The 24394-nt window shown below is 40.5% G+C and overlaps 1 protein-coding gene across 8 annotated transcripts in view, besides 1 other annotated feature; it reads right to left on the reverse strand.

Annotated features, from left to right (window-relative positions):
• Nucleotides 1-24394, reverse strand: part of AMPH (amphiphysin) — a 247670-nt gene that overhangs the window by 187616 nt on the left and 35660 nt on the right. The window lies entirely within an intron of this gene.
• Nucleotides 18428-18989: an enhancer, noted in NCBI's record as "OCT4-NANOG-H3K4me1 hESC enhancer chr7:38629347-38629908 (GRCh37/hg19 assembly coordinates)". NCBI's record gives its function as "activates a minimal SCP1, AML or CMV promoter by ChIP-STARR-seq in naive and primed H9 embryonic stem cells {active_cell/tissue: H9 hESC(naive and primed)}" and the evidence as "EXISTENCE:reporter gene assay evidence [ECO:0000049][PMID:30033119]".

A 24394-nucleotide genomic window follows, 5' to 3' on the forward strand; every position in this document is an offset into this window, starting at 1 on the left:
GAATATATATATTTATATATAGAATATATATATTTACATATAGAATATATATATTTTTATATATTTATATATATTCTATATATATAGAATATATATATTTATATATAGAATATTTATATAGAATATATTTATATAGAATATATGGAATATATTCTATAAAATATATATTCTATATAAATATATTCTATAAAATATATATTCTATAAAATATATATATTCTGTATAAATATATATATTTATACTTATACATAAATTTAAAACTAGAAAAAAGCTTATAGAATAAGGATATAAAGAAAGAAAATATTTTTGTACAGGTGTACAATGTGTTTGTTTGGAGCTGTTATTACAAAAAACCTCTAAAAATTAAAATGTTTATAAAGTAAAATGTTACTGTGAGCTAAGGTTATAGTGAAGAAAGAGAAGTATGATTTTGATAAATTTAGCATAGCTTAAGTGTACAGTGTTTATTATCTACAGTCATGTGCTGCCCTAGGCCTTCACATTCACTCACCACTCACTCATTGCTCACCCAGAGCAACATCCAGTCCTGCAAGCTCCATTCATGATAAGTACCCTATACACGTTTATCTTTTTTTTTTTTTTGAGATGGAGTTTTGCTCTTCTTGCCCAGGCTGGAGTGCAATGGCACAATCTCAGCTCACCGCAACCTCTGCCTCCCAGGTTCAAGTGATTCTCCTGCCTCAGCCTCCCAAGTAGCTGGGATTACAGGCATGTGCCACCATGCCTGGCTAATTTTGTATTTTTAGTAGAGACGGGGTTTCTCCATGTTGGTCAGGCTGGTGTCAAACTCCCGACCTCAGGTGATCCGCCCACTTCAGCCTCCCAAAGTGCTGGGATTACAGGTGTGAGCCACCACACCTGGCCAGGTGTACCATTTTTTATCTTTTATACCATATTTTTATTGTGCCTTTTCTATGTTTAGATACACAAATCCTTACCACTGTCCTACAGTTATCTACAGTATTCAGTGCAGAAACATATGGTTCAGGTGTGTACCCCAGGAGCAACAGGCTATGCTATACAGCCCTGGTGTACAGTAGGTGCTACCATCTAGGTCTGCTTAAGTACAATCCATGATGCTCACACAACAATAAAATTGCCTAACGATTTCTCCTCATTTTACCCTCATCATTATGCCACACACGACTGTACAGGGGATGCAGGGGCTGAAAAGCCAATAAGGAAGAGTCAGGTATTCCAAAGATTAGCAAATGTGGAAGGCTGTTCCCATATCTGAGCTGAAGGGATCAGGGAGGAGGTGATGTTATTAATGAGCCCAAGGGCCAAGATCACCTGAAAGAAGCTGGCACCAGAAGCCAGTCCATGGGAAGCTGCTGGTAAAGCAGCCACCCAATGTGAAGTGGGAGCAGGAGGAAGACCTTGTTTTCTCACTTCCTCTGACCCTCTGGTCTCCCAGCAGGACCTCTCATTGGCCAATCCCAGCCAGAAGCCAAGAAGCCAACCAACAGGGAGTGTGGGATAGGAACAGCCTGCAGTGTCCATCCCACCCCCAACACAGAGGGCAGAGGAAGCGTGAGCATGGCCTCTGAAGACAAGCAGGCCCAGGACCGTGGCCTCCAAGCTCCAGCACAATATCAGCATCCCCAACAGCAAAAAGCGCCTTACTGTACCCTGCCTTGGTGTGGTAGCATCTCCTACACCCAGAGAATGAAATATGTCATCATGATTAGTGTTATTGACAAAATGGTGTCAAGATTCCGATTCATTACATAGTCCGTACTCTCTTTTGAAGGCTCTGAAAAGAAATTTTCTGCTGTTGTCAATATCAAAAATATTTGTACCTCCCTGATGTAATTACAAAGACTGGGGCTTGTGGACACTGGGCTGTGGCACTGCTCGGGCTTCCCATGTCACACTCTCCATCATGGCCAAACTGGTTCAGCCTCAGTCCTCCTTACATGGTTTCTACTTTTTCTTTTTTCTTGTTTTTAATTTTTGCTATTTTGTACCTTTTGTATTATTGTAAACTGACTTAAACAGTTTATGGATAAAGCAGGAAAGAAATACATACATGTATGTATACACATACATACACTCCTATGAGTGGCACACAAGCATAATTTTGAACATGGGCTAATGACAACCAAAATATAACATGAATCCAAGGTGTGAGCTTTGGTGTCACAGCATATTGGGTTTAAAGCCTATTAACTCCATGTTTTTCAGACATGTTGTAACTATTGTGTGTCTTTATTTACTTTTCAATATTCTAAAATTTATACTTTGCTTTCTTGACATATACAATACAGACTTCTAATGTTCATGTAGTCAAATCTATCAGCCCTCTGTGGTTTTTTGCACTGATTGCATGCTTAGGGAGACTCTCCTGATCTGAATTTATTTTTCCTTCTGATTAATTTATATTTCCTTCTGATTATTTCATGGTTTCTTTCAATAAAAATAGTTAATGCTTTAAAGCACTTAATAATACCAAACAATTGTATGGAACCTGCTTTGTGCCAAATATTGTTTTAGATTATAGTTCTAAATAGTAACTAATGTAGTAACTCATTTAATTTTCATGACTGTCCTAAGGAAGTAGCTACTATTATCATCCCCATTTTACAGATGAGGAAATAGAGGCCTATAGAGGTGAAGTAACTTGACCACTTGCTAATAAGTGGCACAGCTTGGACTGGAGTCCAGGTTCTACATAGATTTCAGTGCTCAAACACAATGCCATGCTGCCTCTGGAATGGATTTTGATGTTAAGTATAAGGCAAAGGTGTAAAATTTTGTTTTTTGCTATCCTGAACAGTCAGCTAACAACCCTAGCAACATTACTGAATCATCTTGATTTCCCACAACGAGTGATGCCAACTTTATCACATATATTCTTATTTTCCTTGACATCACATATGTGCCAGACGACAGAGATGAAGCAGTCTGTTATTCCCATTGCACACTTACAGATTCAATAACTAAGACAACTGAGAGGTGATTTATCAAAACCTCTCCACTGGAGACTTCTGCTCCCCACGGCATCTGGCCGGCAGACCATGAGTCATGCTCTCCAGCGGCCCCTCTCAAACAGCAGGATCCTCAAGATGCAAATGAACACCCAGAACAACACTGAAAATTAGAATTTCAGCCAAACTATTGCTCCCTCATTAGGATTTCCTCTAATTACAAGATTTAGGAAGCTGAAATGAGATTTGCAATTGCAGCTGCTGTTCACACAGCCTCTGCCACTTACAAGGGAGAGAAAACGGGTGGCCTGAAAAATGTAACAAAGAACACTTATTACAAGAATAAATATTTAGGGATAAATAAAAGAATAACAGGAGTGATTATCAACATTATGTTCATGTGGTAGGACGATGGGTGAGATTTTTATTCTTCTATTCTATTTTTTTCTAGGCCTTCCAAATTTATCATTCAATACTATTACCTTAATAAAAATCACTATTAAGGCCAGGCGCCGTGGCTCACACCTGTAATCCTAGCACTTTGGGAGGCCGGGGCGGGCAGATCACGAGGTGAAGAGATCAAGACCTTCCTGGTCAACATGGTGAAACCCCGTCTCTACTAAAAATACAAAAATTAGCTGGGCATGGTGGCACACACCTATAGTCCCAGCTACTCAGGAGGCTGAGGCAGGAGTATCACTTGAACCCAGGAGGTGGAGTTTGTAGTGAGCCAAGATTGCGCCACTGCACTCCAGCCTGGTGACAGACCGAGACTCTGTCTAAAAAAAAAAAAAAAAAAAAAAAATCACTATTAAAACATTTCACAGTGATGGAAAAGTGTAAGTATACCCAGATCTCAAGTTTCCTGTTGCATCTTTCAAACATGAACAAATACGTACTTTCAACTCTACTCTATATAGACCCTCCATTGGGCACTGGGGATATAGTACCAAAAAATATTTAGTCTTATCTATAACAGTTTAATTTTTTTAACCTAGATAATACAGTCATTAATACTGGTATAATTAAATATTAATTTTCAAAATGTTTATGAATGTAGAAAATGGAGAATGAGCATTATATTGTCAAAGCAAGGATTCTAAGGGAAGTCTCCAAAGGACATTTATTTGGTTTGGCTGTGTCCCCACCCAAATCTCATCTTAAATTGTAATCCCCATGTGTTGGGGGAGGGACCACATGGGAGGTGATTACATCATGGGGGCAGTTACCCTCATGCTATTCTCATGATAGTTAGTGAGTTCTCATAAGATCTGATGGTTTTATAACATTTCACTCAAACCTCTCAAACAAAGTTCATTTAAACCTCTCCTTCCTGCTGTCATGTGAAGAAGGACATGTTTACTTCCCCTTCCACCATTATTATAAGTGTCCTGAGGCCTCCCCAGCCATGCTGAACTGTGAGTCAATTAAACCTCTTTCTCCTACAAATTACCCAGTCTTGGGCAGTTCTTTATAGCAGCATGAAAATGGACTAATACAGCCGTCTTGATGCTCCTTCCACTTTGTTCATCTCCACCTCTCGATCGCTGCCCAGGCTCTGCTACTCACTTTCATTCTATTCCTAAGGGGAATTCACCTGAAATCAGAGCCAAGCAGAGAAGTGGCTGCCCTGCCTTTCCTAACCTGGTAGGGATATGGTGGCAAAGGCACCCCCTGGAACTTCCTCCACCACTGTTATAGTTTTTATTTAGCTTCTGTAAGTTACTCTCTTAAAAGGAGCCTTCGAATTCTAAGTTGGCAAACATTTTATAAGCCTCTGGGATAGACTGCCTAGTGACTAGAGTTCCTGAACACCTATTGAGATGTGGTGCTATGTAAGATCACAGGACATAAAGAACACAATTGACAACCAAACACCTTCGCAACATGCCTTTGATGTAACCATCATTGCTGGAGAATTCAAACCTTTCAAAGGAGTCCATATTACTTTGGAAAGGTCTAATTAAAAAACAAATAAATGAACAAACAAAACAAAACAACTTCTTAATATTGAGCTCCACGACTCATGCTTATAATTCTTTTTATTGGTCCTCTTAGTTTATATCCCCAGGGCAGAAGTAATAATCCCTTCTCCACACAACAGTCCTTCATGTTTGATTTAATATCCTCAGATACTAAACTATGGCAATTTTCATTATAATGTATTGCTGCTCTATCTTCATTATTTTTCTTGTTTTCATACTTAGCCACCCGAGAATTCCTAGAATTAACCATCTGAGGCCTTCCAGGAAATCGTATGTTAAGTGCTGGTTTTCAGGAGAAAACTGGAGAAAAGTGTGAATTAGATGGCCAGATAATCATGATCTTTGTCTTATTTATCAGAATATAGGAGATAAAGGCAAAAGAATAGGGCATGGGGGTTGCTCATTGTTCTTTTCTATTTTTATGTTTTTTTAAAACAGGCTAAAGAAACGAGACAGAACCCCCAGACTCATGCCTGAGAGATCTCACTTAAGTCTTTACTATGTCTAACACAGGGACAATGTGCTAGGCATGTGGTTACAAAGCTGGACTTACAGTCAGAATCCGGACCCTGCTAATCAACAGTTGTGTGACCTTGGGCAAGTCATTTAAGCTTCCTGAAATTAGTTTTCCCATCTATACAAAGGAAATGATAATATCTACCTGGCCGGGCTGTTCCGAGAAACCAAATGAAATAATACATCTAGGGCTCATGATATGCTTTTGATAGCTAGTAGTGATTATTATTATTTCTTAAAGAGGATTTATATGGGGTTCTGGTCAACCACCTTATTCTTTTCTAGTCTACATACAAGTCAACTGTACCAGTGTGTAATTCAGAAATTCAGAAATAGATGTTTATGTAGCAGGCATAGGCAGAGGATATGCTACTTTATTATAATTTTTCTAAAAACTGCTGAACAAATGACATCCAAAAACTAATTTGGAAAATCAAAATAACAAGAGAAGCATGTGGACAAATGTACACCTGTGGCCAGGTCTCCAAACTGCATGCAGTGGAGTAAATCGCCTTACTCCCATGACCTCCCTCTTCATCCCTAGGCTGTAGTTCCAGCCCCCGCCCTGTCAGTTACAAGTTCTCATACGAGTCTTCGCTTCTCCATAAGCAGATGCTAAGAAAGGGTATCCACTGGAATGCCACCCCACTCTGAACTAGCACATTACCATTGTGGTTTAGATTCTTTATTCCCTTGCGAGTTTGATTAGCGTAAGTTGACTGCAAAGAATTCTGGATACTGACCAAGTTTCCTGAAGGCAAGAATATCACCTTTTTTGTTTTCTCCTGAAAACCAGCACTTAACATAGTGTCTCATACACCACAGAATGAATGCAGCAAACAGCTGTTGAACAAATAATAGGGAGGTGGTGAGAGAGGAGAAGGGAGGGAGGAAGGAAAGAAAGAAAAAAAGAGAAAGAGGGAGGGAAGAAGAGAAGGAAAGGAGAAAAGAAGGAAGGGCACAAGGGAGGGAAGGAAGGAAGAAAAAAGGAAGGAAGGGAGAGAAAGAGAAGGAGGAAGGGAGGGAAAAAGAGAAAGAAGACAGGAAGAAAGGAAGGAAAGGAGGAGGGAAGACGGAACATAAAAGAGGAAAGGAGAAATGAATGAATGAATGAGTCAAGATAATACCTGTGAAGCCTCTTGGAAGTCATCTCTACATCCCTCTTAGCAAATACCAAGGGCTTAACATTGGAAACAAACACGATAGCTGCGTCACCTGTGCAGGCTCTGCTATAAGTGACAACACACGACTACACTGTACTTAGTGATAAATGACAGAGATTGGGCTGAAATCAGTTGTTGACACTGCCACACACTTATAGGTGATGCCCTTCCAGTAGCCCCCAAACTTTTCCAGGAGAAAATCATACCCACCACTGCAAAGTCAGAAAGAAAGACATCAAGAATAATCAAGTGTGCAATTACTTATTAAAGTTGGTTCCAGTACCCACTGAACAGGCAGTAAGAAGAATTGCAGTGTCTCCACCCTCTCCCCAAACAGCAGGTGCTAAAACCTACTGCAAATACAAGGACTTAGCAAGTTATGTTGTTAGATTTAGTAAATAAAAATACATGCAATATTTGGGAAATACATGTGCAGAAAACAATTCCCAAAGAACTTTGGCTTATGCAAGTGATATGTTAGTATTTATCATATTAGATTTTAACGAAAATTTTTTTTAAATATTGCATCATTTAAACTCACAATAGGTGAACTGCAGAGCCTCACATCTGTAATCTCAACCCTTTGGGAGGCCAAGGTGGGAAGATTTTTTGAAGCCAGGAGTTTGAGAACAGCCTGGGTAACATAGCAAGACCCCCATCACTATGATAACAATTATTTTTTAAATTAACCACATGCTGTGGCATGTGCCTGCAGTCCTAGCTACTTGGGAGGCTAAGGCAGGAGGATCACTTAAGCCCAGGAGTTTGGGTTGCAGTGAGTTATGATCACACCACTGCACTCCAGCTTGAGCTACAGAGTGAGACCCTGTTTCTAAAAAATACAAAAAACAAATTAAAGAAACCCCTAACAAACTCATCACATGTCAATATAATAACATCTTATGACATTTTAATGGTTTTTTCTTACATTTTTACAAATATCTTTACTGTTTACTCTCCAGCCTAATAAAAAACAGCTAGATTCTTTTATTTACTTCTGCTTTGAATCTGTTGAGATATTGCATGTCATACAGCTTCTGGAAAACTCCATTGTACACTTGTAAGAGAATGAGAGTGATGAAAGCAAATCATATCTTAGTGTTATTATGAAAATAATGCTGGCCTCACAAAGCCCCTGAAAGGGTCTTGGGCTGCCCCAGGAGTCCCTAGACCAAACTGCAAGAACTACAACTCTAAGCCAACTAAGGACAGATAGAAAGACCACAAAACACCCAGAAGAGATTTCCATACCTGCTGTGCTGGTGTCCATCACCGGTTTCTAGCTGTTCTGTAGTGTGCAGTGTCTTTGACAAGGGGAGAGACCAAAACACCCATTCTTGGCCCCAGTCCAGGGCTGTCTCCAGTGGCCACTCTCCACTGGGATGTTGGTCCAGTGGAAACATGGCCAGACTCTCTACCACCTGTTGGCTTTGCTTTCCCTTCCAGTGCCATTCTTCCCAGATCAGCATCCTTAAGCTTCAACGTAGGTATGGGTGACAAACCAATCAAGTTGGCTTCATTTCCAAACCCACAAATCCTAAGTTGCTTTACAATGTAATATACATCAAGTATAGGCTATCTTCTCCAGAGCAGTAGCTACAATTGTTAGTGTATATTATCTTGACTTATGTTCAGGTATCGGTTGGCATGAAGTGAAATCTTAAGAGATAACTCAATATCCTAAGACTTAAGAAATGCCTGGTCCAAAACTCTTCTTACAAAAGAGGCAACAGTTGTGTCACAAGTGCAATGACATTTATGTCAATTGTTGTACTCCCAGAATAATTCCTTAGAGGAGAATGAAATAATCAAAGTTGATCATGGGAAGACATCTTTTATATCTGTACCAAATCTGAAGTATTGATGTTAATCCCTACATAACCTAAATGTAACATTGAGCTAGCTCCTCTCTCACCAAACCTTTTGTGTAAATTATGCCTAGGGAAAGAGAAACACAAAAGATCAAGAAAATGTACACAATGTTCGCCAGAAAATGCATACCAGTCCCAGACTCATGAATAAACACTCAGGTAAAAAGCACTGTCACATAAACACATTGATGAATCTCCAAAATGTTAATCTCCAAAATGTCCAGTCGACTTCTGATGCTCACATACATTTACAGATTCTCATCAGAGCACTACATCAATTTTACATAAATAAAATACCCTCCTAGATTTTGATCCCAAACTAGGAAAAAATGCTTAATTATAAGACTTTTCTACTTACTTTTTATGCCTTTCTCTTCCTAATATTGGAGGCCAGAGGAAAGATGAAAAAAATTAACAAATATAAATAGTAAAGCTTCATTATTATATTCCTGAATTCCCCCAGTGAGATGCTACAAGAACAAAAGGCTCTGAATTCCATTAAGCATGTAAAACCCTGCATTCTTTATCTCCTTATTAGGGGTTTACAATGCACAATCGCAAAATAAAGGCCCTGGGAAAACAGAAACTTTAACTGATTACCTCCCAGATTAGTTTCTCTTGAACTTCACCTCTTTTTGCACAACATCTATTGACATCACCAAACCCCTGTGGCCCACTCTCCAGGTTGGACGTCCTCCCATATCAAGCCTGGGGTCGCCAAACCCCAGGAGTATTAGGCATGATGCTCTGTACGAATGGACCAGATTTGTAGCTGGCCCACTTTCCTCAGCCTGTGATATTCACCCTCCATATCAGTGCTATGACCTGAGGATGAGAAGTCCAAGAGATATGGGATGATGATGATGATGATGATGATGATGATGATGATGATGATGACGATGACGATAAGGGTCTGAGAAGTCAGGAATAGTTGTACTTGTTCTCAAAGCAGAGCCCCACACTGAAGTTCCTCTACCACAAAATCCATTTATGCCCAAAGCACCTAACTTTGTAGGTATAAGTCTGTACTTTAACCTCAGAATAAAATTAGGACATTCCTTTGATCAAAGTCACATCTTATTACAAAAGACTTTTTTCAATTATACCTTATTTTGCATACTCTGGAAAAACTTGGAGTTTAGACTGGGTTAAGCCTATTATATTTCTTTGATATGTTTATAAATTATTTCTCAACATGAAGACATAAAATGGTCTACTTTCCATTCATTCATTCACTTCAAATATTTACTAATACTCTAGTAGGTGCCAGGCACACTCAAGGCTGAGGAGCAATAGAAGAACAGACAAAAGAAATGGCTGTCATAATAGATTGTTCAGCTGTGGTTGGAAAATGAGAGGCAATTATTTTAAATAATAATTAAAATACGTCATACATTAAATGGCAAAAAAAAGTGCCAGGGAGAAAAATAAAGCAGGAAAGGGGGGAAAGAGTGTTGGAGGAATTGCAATCTTAAAATGGGTATTAAGGGAAGGCCTCACTTGAGAAGCTGATATTTGAATAATGATCTAAGGTCGACAACAGAGTGAACCCTCCAGATAAATGGGGACGGGCACTCTAGGACGATGACACTGTAAGTGCAAAAGCCCAGAGGTCCCACAAGGATGTCAGTGTGGGTAGAGGGGAACTGGCAGGGAAGGGTTATAAGAGGTAATGGAAGTAGGGATCAGGTCAGATGGGGTTTTGTGGGCCTTTTTAAAGAACCTTGGCTTTCTTTCTGAGTGACATGAAAAGTTGCTGATATGTTTGGGACACGATAGAGCCTCACTCACCTTTTAACAGGAACAGACTGATGGCTGTGTGAAGAAGAGATTCTAGTGGAGCAAGGAAAGGACAAGGGACGGTTAAGAGGCTCTGCAGTAACTCAGGCAGGATGTTACGGTGTTGGTAGTAGTGGAGGTGTAAAAATGGTAGCATTCTACATCTATTTTAGAATTTGATGCAGATGAGCTTGGCTGATGGACGAGATGAGAAGCATGAAAGAAGGCCTCGAGAATGACTCCATGTTTCTGGACTGAGCAACCTGAAAGATGGGATTTGCTGAGGTGAAAACGACTATAGGGGGAAGAGGTTTGCAGAAGACGGAGATGGGGTGCTCATTTTTTCATGCACTAAGTTTGAGATGCTATTAGATGCCTAAGAAGAGATGTCAAGTAGGCAGCTGGATACACAGATCTCAAGTTCAGAAGAGAGGCTGAGGCTGGAAATACATGCCTGGTATATAAAAACATGAGGTTGAATGATGTCCCCACAGAGTGAATAACATAGATTAAAAAAAGAAAAGAAGCCCGAAGCCTGAGCCATGGGAAACTCCAACATTAAGAAGTCAAAGAGATAAAAAGGAACCAGCTAAAAAGGAATTGAGTCTAGTACCCTGGAAGCCAAATGAAGAAAATAGTTCAAGGATGGGTAAATGATATATTGTGCCAAATAATTCTAAGAGATGGAGAAGTGACCACTTAATTAAACAAGGTGGAGGTCACTGATGACCTTGACAGCAGTTTAAGTGCCATGGTCATGTAGAAAGCCTGACTAGGGTGGGTTCAAGATAGAAGAGGAGAAATAAAAAAGCATATAGATCAGGAATTATTAGATCATGTCCAGGCACCCCTGAGGGGTTCCCAAGAGCTTTCCATGCATCAACAGAGTCAAAACTACTCTTATTCTTTCATAAGTTTATGGCAGAGTTGTTCAAAGATTCCATGACATATAGATGACATCCTGTACTGACAGCTAATGAGATGTGTGCTTGTGTATTATGTTTTAAATGTTTTTAATTTCTAATATGGGAAATACTAATGAATATAACCAAAATAAACTACAATTCTTTGGAGGTGTTTTTAAGAGTTGTAAAGAGGTCCTGAGATCAAAAAGTTTGAGAATGGCTGAGTAGACAGACAGACATGCATGCATATACTTATAGCAAAGCTTTAGCCTCAGAAGTCACATCGGGGACGCACAGGGTCCTAGTCAAAAGCTGATTCTATTCAGTGCAATATGTGACTGTCTGAAAAGCTCTAGCCTGAAACAACCTTATTTATTCAGGGCCGGATGTCAAAATGAATAAGACCATCCTTCACTCAAGCACAATTTGGTCCATAGATTCAAATTCTCTTTAGCATTATTATATTTTTGTCTAAGGGGAAATTTAGTTTAGAATGGTTCACCACACATAAGAGTCAACAATGTATTGACAATCTCATGGTTTATTACTGATGGGAATAGGGAATTATTTTAATAAAAGATTAAGGTTAAAAGAATCACCACCATCCCGCTTATTCATTTTCAAGGATAATATGCATCAGAGCTCCCTTTCACTCAAAACATATGAAGAGCCCAAGATTACATTTCTGTATCTCTGTGTAGTAAAAAGAACAGATAACTTTAGAAATCAACAGACCTGGGCTTGCCCACTTCCTAGTTCAGTGACTTTGGCAACATACTTGACACCTCTGAGACTTTATTCTTCAATCTTTCAAGTAGAGATTTCATAAGTTCGTGACAATCAAATAAAATATGCTATACAAAGAACCTAATAGAAAGCCTAGCGAAAAGTAGCTATTCAATAAATAGTGAATTTTTTTTAGTATTTCAGTAACTAAGCACAAGCCACACACCTTTTAATACTTAAACTTGAAATAATAATATGAAAACACTTGTTCAAAGCAAGAGAGAATAAAGGATTTATTGAGACAATACTTACATGTAGACATTCATAGTGAAGCCTTCTGCATTCATTTTGAGGATGAACCCCTCTGTACAGGATAGACATATTCTATCAGGTATTTATTTCCTAAATGCTATTGTGTGCCAGGCACTGTGGTGGACAATAAGAATACTAAAGAAAATAAAGCAGAGCCCCTGCCCCCAGGGAAGCTCACAGTCCACTAGGGAAACAAATTCTGAACAAAACTGCAATAGAGAGGGATAAAGCTGTGTCAGCCATGCACTGGGTGCCCTGGAGGCAGAGTGAGGGGGGCCAGAAGCCCCTGCACTGCTTACTACCCACCAAGTCCTATAATCTTCCTTCCAGTGAGTAACAACTCTTGAAAAATATCCCTAAAGAACCCTGCTACTACCATTGCCATTGACACATCTCTGAACTTACTGAGTTCTGCTCTATAATGACAGGGTTAGAGAGAGACAGGATGGTCATGTGTTTCCGGGGTTTAGAATTTGATTAGCAACAATCTAAATCCATGGAAAAGACTTGCTTATAACCAGTTTATTTTTACATGTGCATTTCTTTTTTTAAAAAAATAAGGTCATTAAGAGCCCATTTGTTTTTATATATTTGACTTGTTTCAATTCATTTTAGTCATTGTCCTTTCATGCTCTTATTGCAGCATTTCAGGCTACTGGGAGCACCTTCATGTTGGCCTCTGTGTCCTTTTGAAGTGACTCCAGGTAGTCTTTGACAGCCTCCTTGCTTCAGGGGATAACAAGCTATTCCAGATGCATCTTATACATTTCCTACCCACACCTAGAATCAGCTATTTCTGCAAGGAGCCCTGGTAGTAGGAAGTTTTAGTAGGATATGGTTTCGTTTAGTAAGAAATGTGGCACTGCTGCATGGCTGTCATTGCTTTGAGGCCTGAATATCATTCAAGATGTGGTCATGTTCATGAGATGTCGCCGCAGTGAGGTTAGTCATTTACTACCACCTAACACCGTCCTTTTCTGACAATGCCGTCCATGAGGGGATGTCCCCTGAAGGCAGTTATTCTGCCAAAAATCAAAGCTCCCTGCAGAGATATGCCATTCCTGAACTGGTAGGTCACTCTTGGCATATGATCATGAATCACGTCATGTGGCAGAAAAGGAAAAGAACCTCCTAGAGATTTGGAAGGCCAGTTTCTGACGAGAGAACTAGGGAATCAACATTCCCAGGCATCAGCCTTCCTGGAAATTTTCCCTCTGCACTCTCCGGGGCACACGGCCTGATTCCATCACTGCCTCAGCAGAGACCTGAGCAGATGGAGCTGAAATCTTGCAACTTCTACCTAAATAAAATGGCCATTATGTAAATATCGGGCTTGAATCCAGTGTGCAAGGGCATATGTGTATTTCAAATAGCCATCAGGTCTACATTTCTCCCACGTGCTTCAAGCTTTAAACAAAAATTTCCTATCCCTTCTGAGTAAGAATTACAAAGTTCATCTCTGAATTCTCCATGACAACCAAGAAAGGTGGCAATTTCCAACCTTGGGAAACAGCAAGCTACATGTTCCAACCCTCAGACTTCTCAGTCCATGATTCATCATCATAATCATCATCACAATTCACACAACTGTTTATTTACGGGGTGCCAGTTAAGTAAGAAGTATCTCATTTCCCCTCACAAGAACCCCATGGCATAGATACCACTATTATTCCATTTTTACAGTGAGGATTCTGAGAATCTACAAGGCCATGTGTTTCAAAACTATTAGGAGGCAGTGCCAGACTCAGGTCTGACTCGAGGTGGATGCCCTTAGCCATTACTCTGAGAAAGAAGGGAACAAGTATCCTTTCTCCAGTTGGCAGGACATACAGTAGGGAATATGACTTGGCCACTAGCTCCCAGCTAGTGGGGAGTGGAGATGCATAAACTCTGCTAACTAGGGCACTCACAGGGGCTTTTGCAAAGTAAGAAGATGCTGTCATTTGATGGTGACAGCCGCGCTCAAGTCATCTGTAGTACCAGGTCCTGACGACACAAGCCTGGCTTAAGAAAAATACATTCCCTTTACACATATGGATCTTTGAGGAAACAATGCAGAAAAAGTGCTTTATACTAGGTTCTGCTGTTATTTTACACACCACAGAGCCAAATTTAGCCTAAGCTTTTAATACATGGATCTGTCCAATAGCCTCACGGTCCACCGTGCCAGTGGAATTTTCCTGTCTACTCTTAATAGGCTATTTAAATGCAGCAAGGGCTATTTTTGAAACATTTTTCACCATTTGAGTGTGGTATATGGTAGAATTTCTAAATCTCAATAATGCTTCAGCACTGATTACTTCTTCTGATGGGAACATTAAGTATAAATGTATGCATAGCTGTGGATACACAGAAGATTTCATTTACATAATCCTTAAACCAGGGGATAGTGAAGTAGCAGCTAGCCTGAGAGATTTTTTTCTAAGCTTCATCTCTTTGCACTGAGATAACTTTCACACATTTCTTTTGAATTTAGCTTTCACCTTTTTCACCCTTTAAAATAATCTTATCCTACAAATAATGGCATGCTACATTAAATTACACCTAAAAGATGGCCACATGAAGTCCAGACATGGAACTAAAATATGCCTGGACTTCCAAATATTTCAACAGGAAGGCAACCATCCCAGCATTTGTTTAAATATGAAAATTTTCATCGTGGAAATTTTCCAACGAACACGTAAGTAAAGAGAACAGTATAAAGAACCCCCACAAACCGTTTACCCAGCTTCAACCCCTTATCAACATTCTGCCATTCTTGTGTCACATGTCAATCTCATCAGAATTTTTAAAAGGGCATTCTCTGAGCAAAACAAGCCTTCTGTCAGAACTACAGTGGTGTCTCAAATTTTGTATTTTCTATAATAACATAGATTCTTCTACCTTGTGGTACCAATCACAGAATATATCAACTCAACAGCATCTGCTCAATTTCAAAACTACTCTAAACAGTAACTCACATTTGCAACAAATCAAGATATGAAAGGGCCAATTGCTAGTGAGTTAGCTCTAAGCAACATAGACTGATCTTTTCTCATATATATATATCACATTCATGTAAAAATACAAGGTCTGACATGGAAGGAGGGGTCTAGAGCTGATGCAGAGTACAAGTGACAGCAGGTGGCTCCAACCAGAAACACAAAGGTACACACAGTCTACATTCGGCCACACCAAGTAGGGGACACAGGTCCCAGTTCTGCTTCTCATCATTATCCTCATCATGACTATTTATTGATGATCTGTGCTATCCTGCACCCTGTGCTAAGCACTTTACATGTCTTCTCTTTCATCTCCAACAGGATAGATCTATTTTATCTTCAACTTGCAGATGAAGAAACAGAGGTTTAGAGAGATTTCATGGCTTGTTCAGCAGAGTCTAGATTAGAAACCAGGTTGTCCTAACTTCGAAGTCTGCATTATTTCTCCTATCACACACTTTGGTCCCAAGTATTATTGACCCAAATATTAGGAATTGTGTAAATACACACACACACACACACACACACACATAAAATCCACACCTATTCTGAATCTCTAGTGTGCTAATGAATAAAATGACCAGTACCTGTGCAATATCTGGTTAAAATCTGAGACTGTGGGGCTCTCACCAATTTTATAACTTTTTTCGCTCCTGAAGAGAATAAACAAATCAAGGAGCTGTGGCCATGCTCATCTGGACACTGAGTCGACACTGTTTACTGTACTTCAAAGCACCTTTAATATTAGGAAACAGCTCTGGGTGCTAATGTTTCCTGGGGCAGGTGGGTCAGGAGGTTTCAAAGCTGTGACTATTTAGTGCCAGCAAAAACCAATCTTGACATCGATCTAAACGTGCTTCAGAAGAGGTGGTTCCAGGAGAAACTGTCAGCTTAAACTCCCTGAGTTATCTGTGGTATTTAAGTCCAGGTAATAAAAGGCTCTCTGATATTTGGATCACATTTTGTACTGAAATCACCTGAAAGGGTATTTGGGGAGATTTTGACAGTTAAATAATGAAAGTTTGCAAACGAGAAAGCACTATGTTATAACCTAAGATATTCACAGGGGGCTGGGAAATGCAAAGGTAAGTCCTCTGAACTTAATTCTTTGAAGAAAATATTTAATTAGCAAATGTCTTACATAATGGAAAAAACCTTCAAATAGTACAAGAAGGTGGTGCAAGAATGGCCCTGATTTGATATACTGAAACATCATACCATGTGTATGCCAATGTCTTCAGTCCATTCCAAAAGAAAACTGTCATAATAATTGTGCTGCCAACGGTGCTCATTCTCTAACCCTAACCTACAGTATTTACTCTAATATTAATCTCCTCTATAATCGTGGGTGATCAGCTAGGCTCCACAGCTTCAAAATGCTGAACTTTAAACAGCTTATTAATTACTGTGTGTGTGTGTGTGTGTGTGTGTGTGTGTGTGTGCGCGTGTGTGTGTGAGAGAGAGATAGGGTCTTACTTTTTCACCCAGGCTGCAATGCAGTGGCGTGATCTCGGTTCACTGCAGCCTCGACCTCCTGGGCTCAAGCGATCCCCCCACCTCTGCCTCCCAAGTAGGTGGACTACAGGTGTGCGCCACCTCACCTGGCTAATGTTTTTGTATCTTTTTCTAGAGATGGGGTTTGGCCATGTTGTCCAGGCTGGTCTCAAACTTCTGAGCTCAAGTGATCAGCTGTCTCGGCCTCCCAAAATGCTAGGATTACAGGCGTGAGCTACCACGCCTGGCCTTATTAATTACTATTAATTAAGATGGAAGATGGGATAATATCTTCCATCTTATCCCAAATAGTATTTTTCTCCCAACTTTAGTTCTGCATCGCTCTCTCAATAAGCCATACATAGTGGGGATCCATATCATCTTGAATCTTCTCCATTAAATCTTGGTTTCCTAGATATAAGAAAGCTTCAGAACACCAGGCATATGTGTAATCACCATACTGCTTTTCCTTTCTTGGTGAACTGATCTGGGAAAACAAAGGGCACTAAAATTTACTAAATGTCTACTGTATGTGCCAGACATGTTAATGGCACCACATCAAAATGAGCCTGTCAAGATGTAAAACTCCTTTTTTAAAATTTTTGCCAATATGCACTACTCACATCCCTGCCTCTGTTCTGAACCTAACCAACTCTCCAATTATGGGGCACCATATTGGATTAAGAGTTATGTGTATTTATTAGAAAAAAAAAGATAATCGGGGGGAAAAAACAGATATTTTCAGAAAACCTATTAGAACTGGCTTTGATTCTAAATGTTATTATTACTTCCAAACTATCATTATAAAGAAGACTTGTAATACTAACTTGAATATATATTTTACTAGGATTGAGGCCATAATTGTTAAAAATTAATTGAATACTTAATGGGCATCTGAAGTTCAAACACCCTCCTCCACACCCTCTCCTGCCCCCAAACAACCACTGACTACTACACAGTCAAACAAATATAATTAATTGAAATAATAATTTAACAAGAAATTATAAGAATAATTATGATTTTAATCATATAATTAAAACTCACAAAAGTAGGTGAGTCCATTCTTTAGAATAGAAAATACCATATTCCTATTGATCAAATTCCAATTTCAACTAATAAATTTAATTGATATTGAAGTCTGACTATCCAACATTAAAGTAGAAATAAGATAATCAGAGATTCAGACCATAAAAACTGCAAGTGTGAGCAGAACACTTCATAAAGAACAAGCAATATCCTTTTCTAGAATAAATGAATATGGTCAACACTCAACTCTTGGTGAGGTATAATTTTACTTCTAGATTGCATCTAATTCTCACACCATCACTTACCCATCTCTGAATCCCACCGAATTCCTCATTCCATCTCTCATTCCTACTTTTACCTTAATCCTCATCTCAGGGTTGATGTGACTGTAAAGCTTACATATTGGATAAGATTGCCTGTCTCATACACTAGTTGGTAATTTTTTTAAATAGCAGAATGTTTAATGGCTTGGCTTCCAGACTGTGTCAACCTACCCCGAGCATCAAAACAGCTGCATCCAAACCATAATGGTCACATAAAATGTCATGTATTCTTGCCACTAGTTATTTCATCACAACAATTTTGTAGAATACTGTTTCTGCCCAACCTGAAGATGAGGTTTTATTAAAATTATATCTCTAAGAATACAGGCTTTGCATTTGATTGCTGACACAGTATTTCATATTACGTAGCTCTCAATTATTAATTGAGTATGTGAAAGTTTAGTTTGGCGTAAACACACCAACCTGATACATCCTTAATCAATGCCAGTTTTATATGCCCAGAAAGGGCACCTGTGAACACAAAATTGCAAATGTTGGACCTCCTCATAGGCAAGATTTTAGAGATCACTTAAAACAATTCAGTGGGTGGAAATCACCAACAATCACAGAATGGATAAAAACAGTAAACTGTCTTAATGAGTTCTTGTTGCTCGAAATAAAATTTCAAGGGACACTATCACACAGGGCTTCAAAGAGTGCTTTATCTGAAATGACATTGATGGAGTGTTGAAGTGTTACTGGGGGGTCTTTGTTCTTCCAGCTCCCAAGATGAGGTGGGCCTTTTGTTCTCTGACCCGGGGTTCTTGGCCTCACAGATTCCAAGGAATGGAACCTTGAGCCATGCGGTGAGTGTTATAGCTCTATTAGAAGCTGTGGATCACAGAAGAGAACCGTGGAACCCAGCGACTAGTGTTCAGCTTGATTAGGACGAACCCAGGCACTTAGCTGTGCAGGAACAATGGTGAGCCTTTAGCCCAATCAGGAGCAGCAACGGATGCCTCGCTGGATCAGGAGCACAGCCCACACCCTGCCAGATCTGGAGGGGTAGAAGTCAGCAGCGGGTCTGTGATGGCGGCATTCAGCAGTGGTGGATGGTGAGTGAAAGCTCAGCTTGAGCCAGAACAAACACAGACCAGAAGAGTGTGCAGTTGCAAGCTTTAATAGAGTGAAAACAGAGCTCCCATACAATGGGAGGGGACCCAAAGGGGGTTGCCCACTCCCGGCTCGAATGCCTGGGGTTTATATCCCAATCATTGTCCCTCCCCCTGTGCTCTCAGATGATAGATGATTTGACTATTTCTTTACCTCCTGCTCTTAGCCTAATTTGTATTTTAGTGAGCCCTCTTTACTACCTGATTGGTTGGGTGTGAGCTGAGTTACAAGCTCCGTGTTTAAAGGTGGGTGCGGTCACCTTCCCCAGCTAGGCTTAAGAATTCCTAGTCAGCCTAGGAAATCCAGCTAGTCCTGTCTCTCAGAAGTTCCCTGGAAAACTAAGTGGGATAACTCAAAAGGTGGCTCTATTGAGGACAATGACCACAAGGCCATAGATGCATGTGAAAGACTAATATAACTTTCATAAAATGTAAGAGTAAAAATGTCCCACCTCGAAGGTAAGATATAATTTTATATTATAAGCGATTTCAAAATGTTACTAAATTAATACACTAATATTGTAAGTTGACATTCACCTATTTGCAGTATAGCCTTAAAAGTTCATTTATAAACAGGAGGGATATTTTGAGAGGGAATCTTCTCACCAGTTGTCTTATATTCAGGAGAATGCGGTAAATATCATTATCATAGGGCTAGGTTACCAGGTCTCCTCTGATTCCCATGGCAAGCTCTCCAGTTCCCTAAAGCTAAGGGAATTTTCAAATATAAATAAATTATGCCAAACTGTCTTTCTCAACCAAGAGAGAATAATTTAAGAATCTTGGAAGCCCAATGCCTCCTTTCTTTTCTTTTCTTTTTCTTTTTCTTTTTTTTTTTTTTGAGATGGAGTTCCTCTCTTGTCACCCAGGCTAGAGTGCAATGGCATGATCTCAGCTCACTGCAACCTCTACCTCCTATGTTCAAGTGATTCTCCTGCCTCAGCCTCCCTAGTAGCTGGAATTCCAGGCGTGCGCCACCATGCCCGGCTAATTTTGTATTTTTAGTAAAGATGAGGTTTTACCATGTTGGCCAGGCTGGTCTTGAACTCCTGACCTCAGGTGATCTACCCACCTTGGCCTCCCAATGTGCTAAGATTACAGGCATAAGCCACCACGCCTGGCCCCAAATGGCTCCTTTCTATAAACTCGGCTCTCATAAGTTAGAAAGGGTCCCAAAAGTGGAACGATTCTGCAAAGTTCCCCCAAACCTTATCATCCCTCCACCACTAACAATAAACACATAACCAAACTGCGGACAAGCCTACAGCTGTCCTCAGCATGCCATCTTTACCACCTCCCTAATTCTGTTCACTGCCCTGACACTTGTCCCAAGGAACCAACTATATCCCTTGAGGTCTGTGTAAAGCCATTCACATTTCTCTGATGTCTTTCGCTGCACATATTGCTGAGACCAGCTTGGTCGTGGAGACCCTAACCCAGCAGCGCTAGAGGAGTTAAAGACACACACACAGAAATATAGCATGTGGAATGGGAAATCAGGGGACTCACAGCCTTCAGAGCTTAGAGCCATGAACAGAGATTTACCCACATATTTATTTACAGTAAGCCAGTGATAAACAGTTTCTATTATAGATTAACTAAAAGTATTCCTTATGGAAAACAAAGGGATGGGGCAAAACAAAGGGATAGGCTCTGGCTAGTTATCTGCAGCAGAAACATGTCCTTAAGGCACAGATCGCTCATGCTATTGTTTGTGATTCAGGAATGCCTTTAAGCGGTTTTCCACCCTGGGTAAACCCACAACCTTCAGCGTGGGCGTCATGGCCATCATGATCATGTCACAGTGCTGCAGAGATTTTGTTTATGGCCAGTTTTGGGGCCAGTTTATGGCCAGATTTGGGGGCCTATCCCAAGCAAGGTATGATCATTCCCTCTTCACAGCTACCATGGCCCCTTCTGAGCCATGTTTGATCAGAAAAAGAAATGACCTTGGGTCCAGTGATCTCAGTTAAAATTCAGTTTCTGGGCCCGGCATGTTGGCTCAAGCCTGTAATGTCAGCACTTCGGGAGGCCAAGGTGGGTGGATCACCTGAGGTCAGGAGCTCAAACCAGCCTGACCAATATGGTGAAACCCTGTCTCTACTAAAAATATAAAAATTAGCCGGGCATGGTGGTGGGCACCTGTAGTCCCAGCTACTTGGGAGGCTGAGACAGGAGAATTTCTTGAACCCAGGTGGTGGATGTTGCAGTGTGCTGAGGTCATGCCACTGCACTCCAGCCTGGGAGACAGAGCAAGACTCCGTCTCAAAAAAAAAAAAAAAAAATCAGTTTCTCCCACTGTGTGGTCTCACCTGGTGATCCTGGGCCAGCTACTGAGACTCCCTGCATCTCGGTTCACTAATCAATAAAGAGGAAATAGCAATACCTGCTTCACAGCTGAATAAATAGGAGCATTGCTTTGAGAAGCCAAGGCCAACCTGCGGCATATTCTAGCCCCAACTGCTGTTAAAGCTGGGGCTCTGTTATTGTACTGACACACCTCCTCTTGTAACTTCTTCTGAACCTGCATTATCTCTCCAACTAAATTGCAAGTGATCCAATTGTAATTGAAATCCAATTAAAGTTATTCAAGTAGTAAAACAATGCAAGTACTTTGTTTCACTACTTCTCTCTATATCTTACAAAGCACTTGGCACACAGTAGAGGCATAATAAATATGTTGGCTACATGATACAAATGAAAGGCTTTTTATAGGCAAGAAACCATAAAGCATCTTAACAATAGGGTAAACATTTACTTATTTTTGTATCTGTAAAAGGATCTACTTCACTCTAGTGAAGCAGAAACTATTCTTTCAGTGTAGAATCATTTCTACTAATTTTCTTTGGCAGTCTTCAAAAACAATAAGATAAAGAAAAAGAAAAGAAAAAAACAAAAGCTCAAGCAACTCCCAGTGTGCCCTACCAAATGTACGTTTCAAGGGAGCAAGCCCGGCTGAATTAACAGAGGTTACATCCAAAGGGTAACAAGCAGCGTTCCTGAGTGGCTCTTACATTAAGTCAAATGAAAATATTAAAGGACCTGTAATTTTCCCTTTATTGCTCTCAGTTCCATCACAGGAGCTAACTGCCTCTATAAAAATAACAAATGTTAATTTGCTGCATTACTTGATAGCTTTGCTCTGCAAAGAAGAATGCCACATTCGGTCCTGCTTTGATTCACTTTCATTCGTTCATCAACAAACATGTATGGGGCACCCACTGAAATGCTGCATCCTGTTCAGGGATCTGGGGATACAGTAGTACAGTAGTGAACACACAGTCAAAAATCCCCACTCAGAGCTTGCATTCAACTGGGTAGAGAAATAACAAGACAAGTAAGTAAAACACATAGTGCGTGAGATGATAGTAAGGCTCAGGGTATAAGAAGGAAGCTAGACGGGAGAGAAAAGGAACAGACAAAGCTGGCGGGAGGGTGGTGGGAAATGAGGTCAAAGAGGGAACAAGCAGCTAGGTGATGAGGGCCTGTAGGACATGGCGAGAGCGGTGGGTTTACCCGGACAACATGGAGAGCCAACCGGGGCTTTGAGAGGAGGCCTGACAAGCTCTTGGCGTTAGCATGCTGGTGGTCGTGTGGAGTAAGGGTGCAGGGGGTCACGGGAAGAAGCAGGAAGCGAAGCTGGGAGACCAGTTCCATAATCAGGTAAGAGATGATGGTGCCCTGGGTCAGAGTGGTGAGGAGCGATCGAATTCCAGGTATGTCCTGAAAGTAGAGCTGCCATGATTTATTGATGTTATGGATGTGGGGCAAGAAAGAAAGGAGTTTAGAGTGACAAGGTTTCTGCGAGGTCCATATTACAAGATACATGAATGATCCCAGTGAATTCCAAGTTCCTTCCAAGTAACTTCTACTGATGTCCCGAAGACACTTTCCTAAAACACCCTTTCCTCCTAACCCTAGATACCAGCTGTTTGGAGGACAGCAACCTACACTGACTGCTTCCCTACCTGGTATCAGACATTGTGCAAGGTGCTTTGATTCCATGTGATCTATTAACAACCTGTGAGGTCTTGGTTATTGTCCTGTTTTATGGTTAAGAGACCTGAGACTCAGTAGATGTAGGTGATCTGCCAAGGCTTCATCTGGGGAAGAAGGGGTACGTATGAATGGGGTGGCATCTCTTCCACTCCAATGGTTTGCTTTCAAGAGGGAAAGCCAAGCCAGTATTACCACATTTTCATATTTTTCTAGAGAAATATGAAATCGAGACTACTATGTGGATTCTCCTGATATTTACATGTATAGTTTAAAAAAAAACTATGGGCCAAACAAACAAATCTGCATCCCAAATTTCCCCTAAAGGAAGCAAGATAAAGACATCAGTGCTGCTTATTCTAAATTATTTCTAAATTTTTAAGCAATATTTTTTTCAAATGATGATCTTAGGTGATGCAAAGGCAATTAAACCCTTTAAAGAAATCTAAGGCAGAGATTAGATGGAAGTAAAAAAACAAGGGGGGGAAAGAATTTTAAGACGGATGCTTAGGCCACTGTTGTGGTGTACATTACATGTGAAATGTACCAGAAAGAACACAAACAGCCTTTGCCCTCCATGAGAGAAACTTGCTAGAGGAAAACAGGGACAGGAGTCTGCTAATGGCCAGGGCTCTGAGCTCCATGACCAGGGAGGGACAGAGGGGAGTTGTGCCCTGGTTGCCCTGGTGATACACAACGACGCTGCCCCGCCCCTGCTTTGGGGACACAAGCAAACTGCTCCCCAGGGCTTCACTCCTGTGTGTCTTCCCTTCCTCTCCTCCACATATCACAGCTCCCCCTTTCCCTCAGCAGGAGGCAGATTAGGGGCCCAGGTACATGGGGTAGTGCTGTACAGGTGGGAGGTGCTGGGAAGACAAAGGTCATGCTGAAATTAGGCTGTATGAAAAAGATATGTCTGCAGTCTGGGCTGAAGGGCTCTATAGCCAGGAGGATAGTCCCTGCCATGTTTCTCTCATAGATAAAGGGTATCACAATGGCCAGTGAAGCCCGAATACAGAGTAGAGGTTGTGGAGAAGTGCAAGAATCCTCCCAAAGGAGTTTTAGGACAAATATCAATCAGGGTGTCCAGAAAAGTCCAACTTTATTTTTTTATCTCATTTTTAATTTTAGATTCAGGGGTTACATGTACAGGTTTTTTACATGGGTATATTGCTTGATGCTAAGGTTTGGGATATGACTGTACCCATCACCCAGGTAGTGACACAGTACCCATTTGGTAATTTTTCAACCCAA

The sequence above is a fragment of the Homo sapiens genome, chromosome 7 (assembly GCF_000001405.40).
Source record: "Homo sapiens chromosome 7, GRCh38.p14 Primary Assembly".
NCBI lineage: Eukaryota > Metazoa > Chordata > Mammalia > Primates > Hominidae > Homo > Homo sapiens.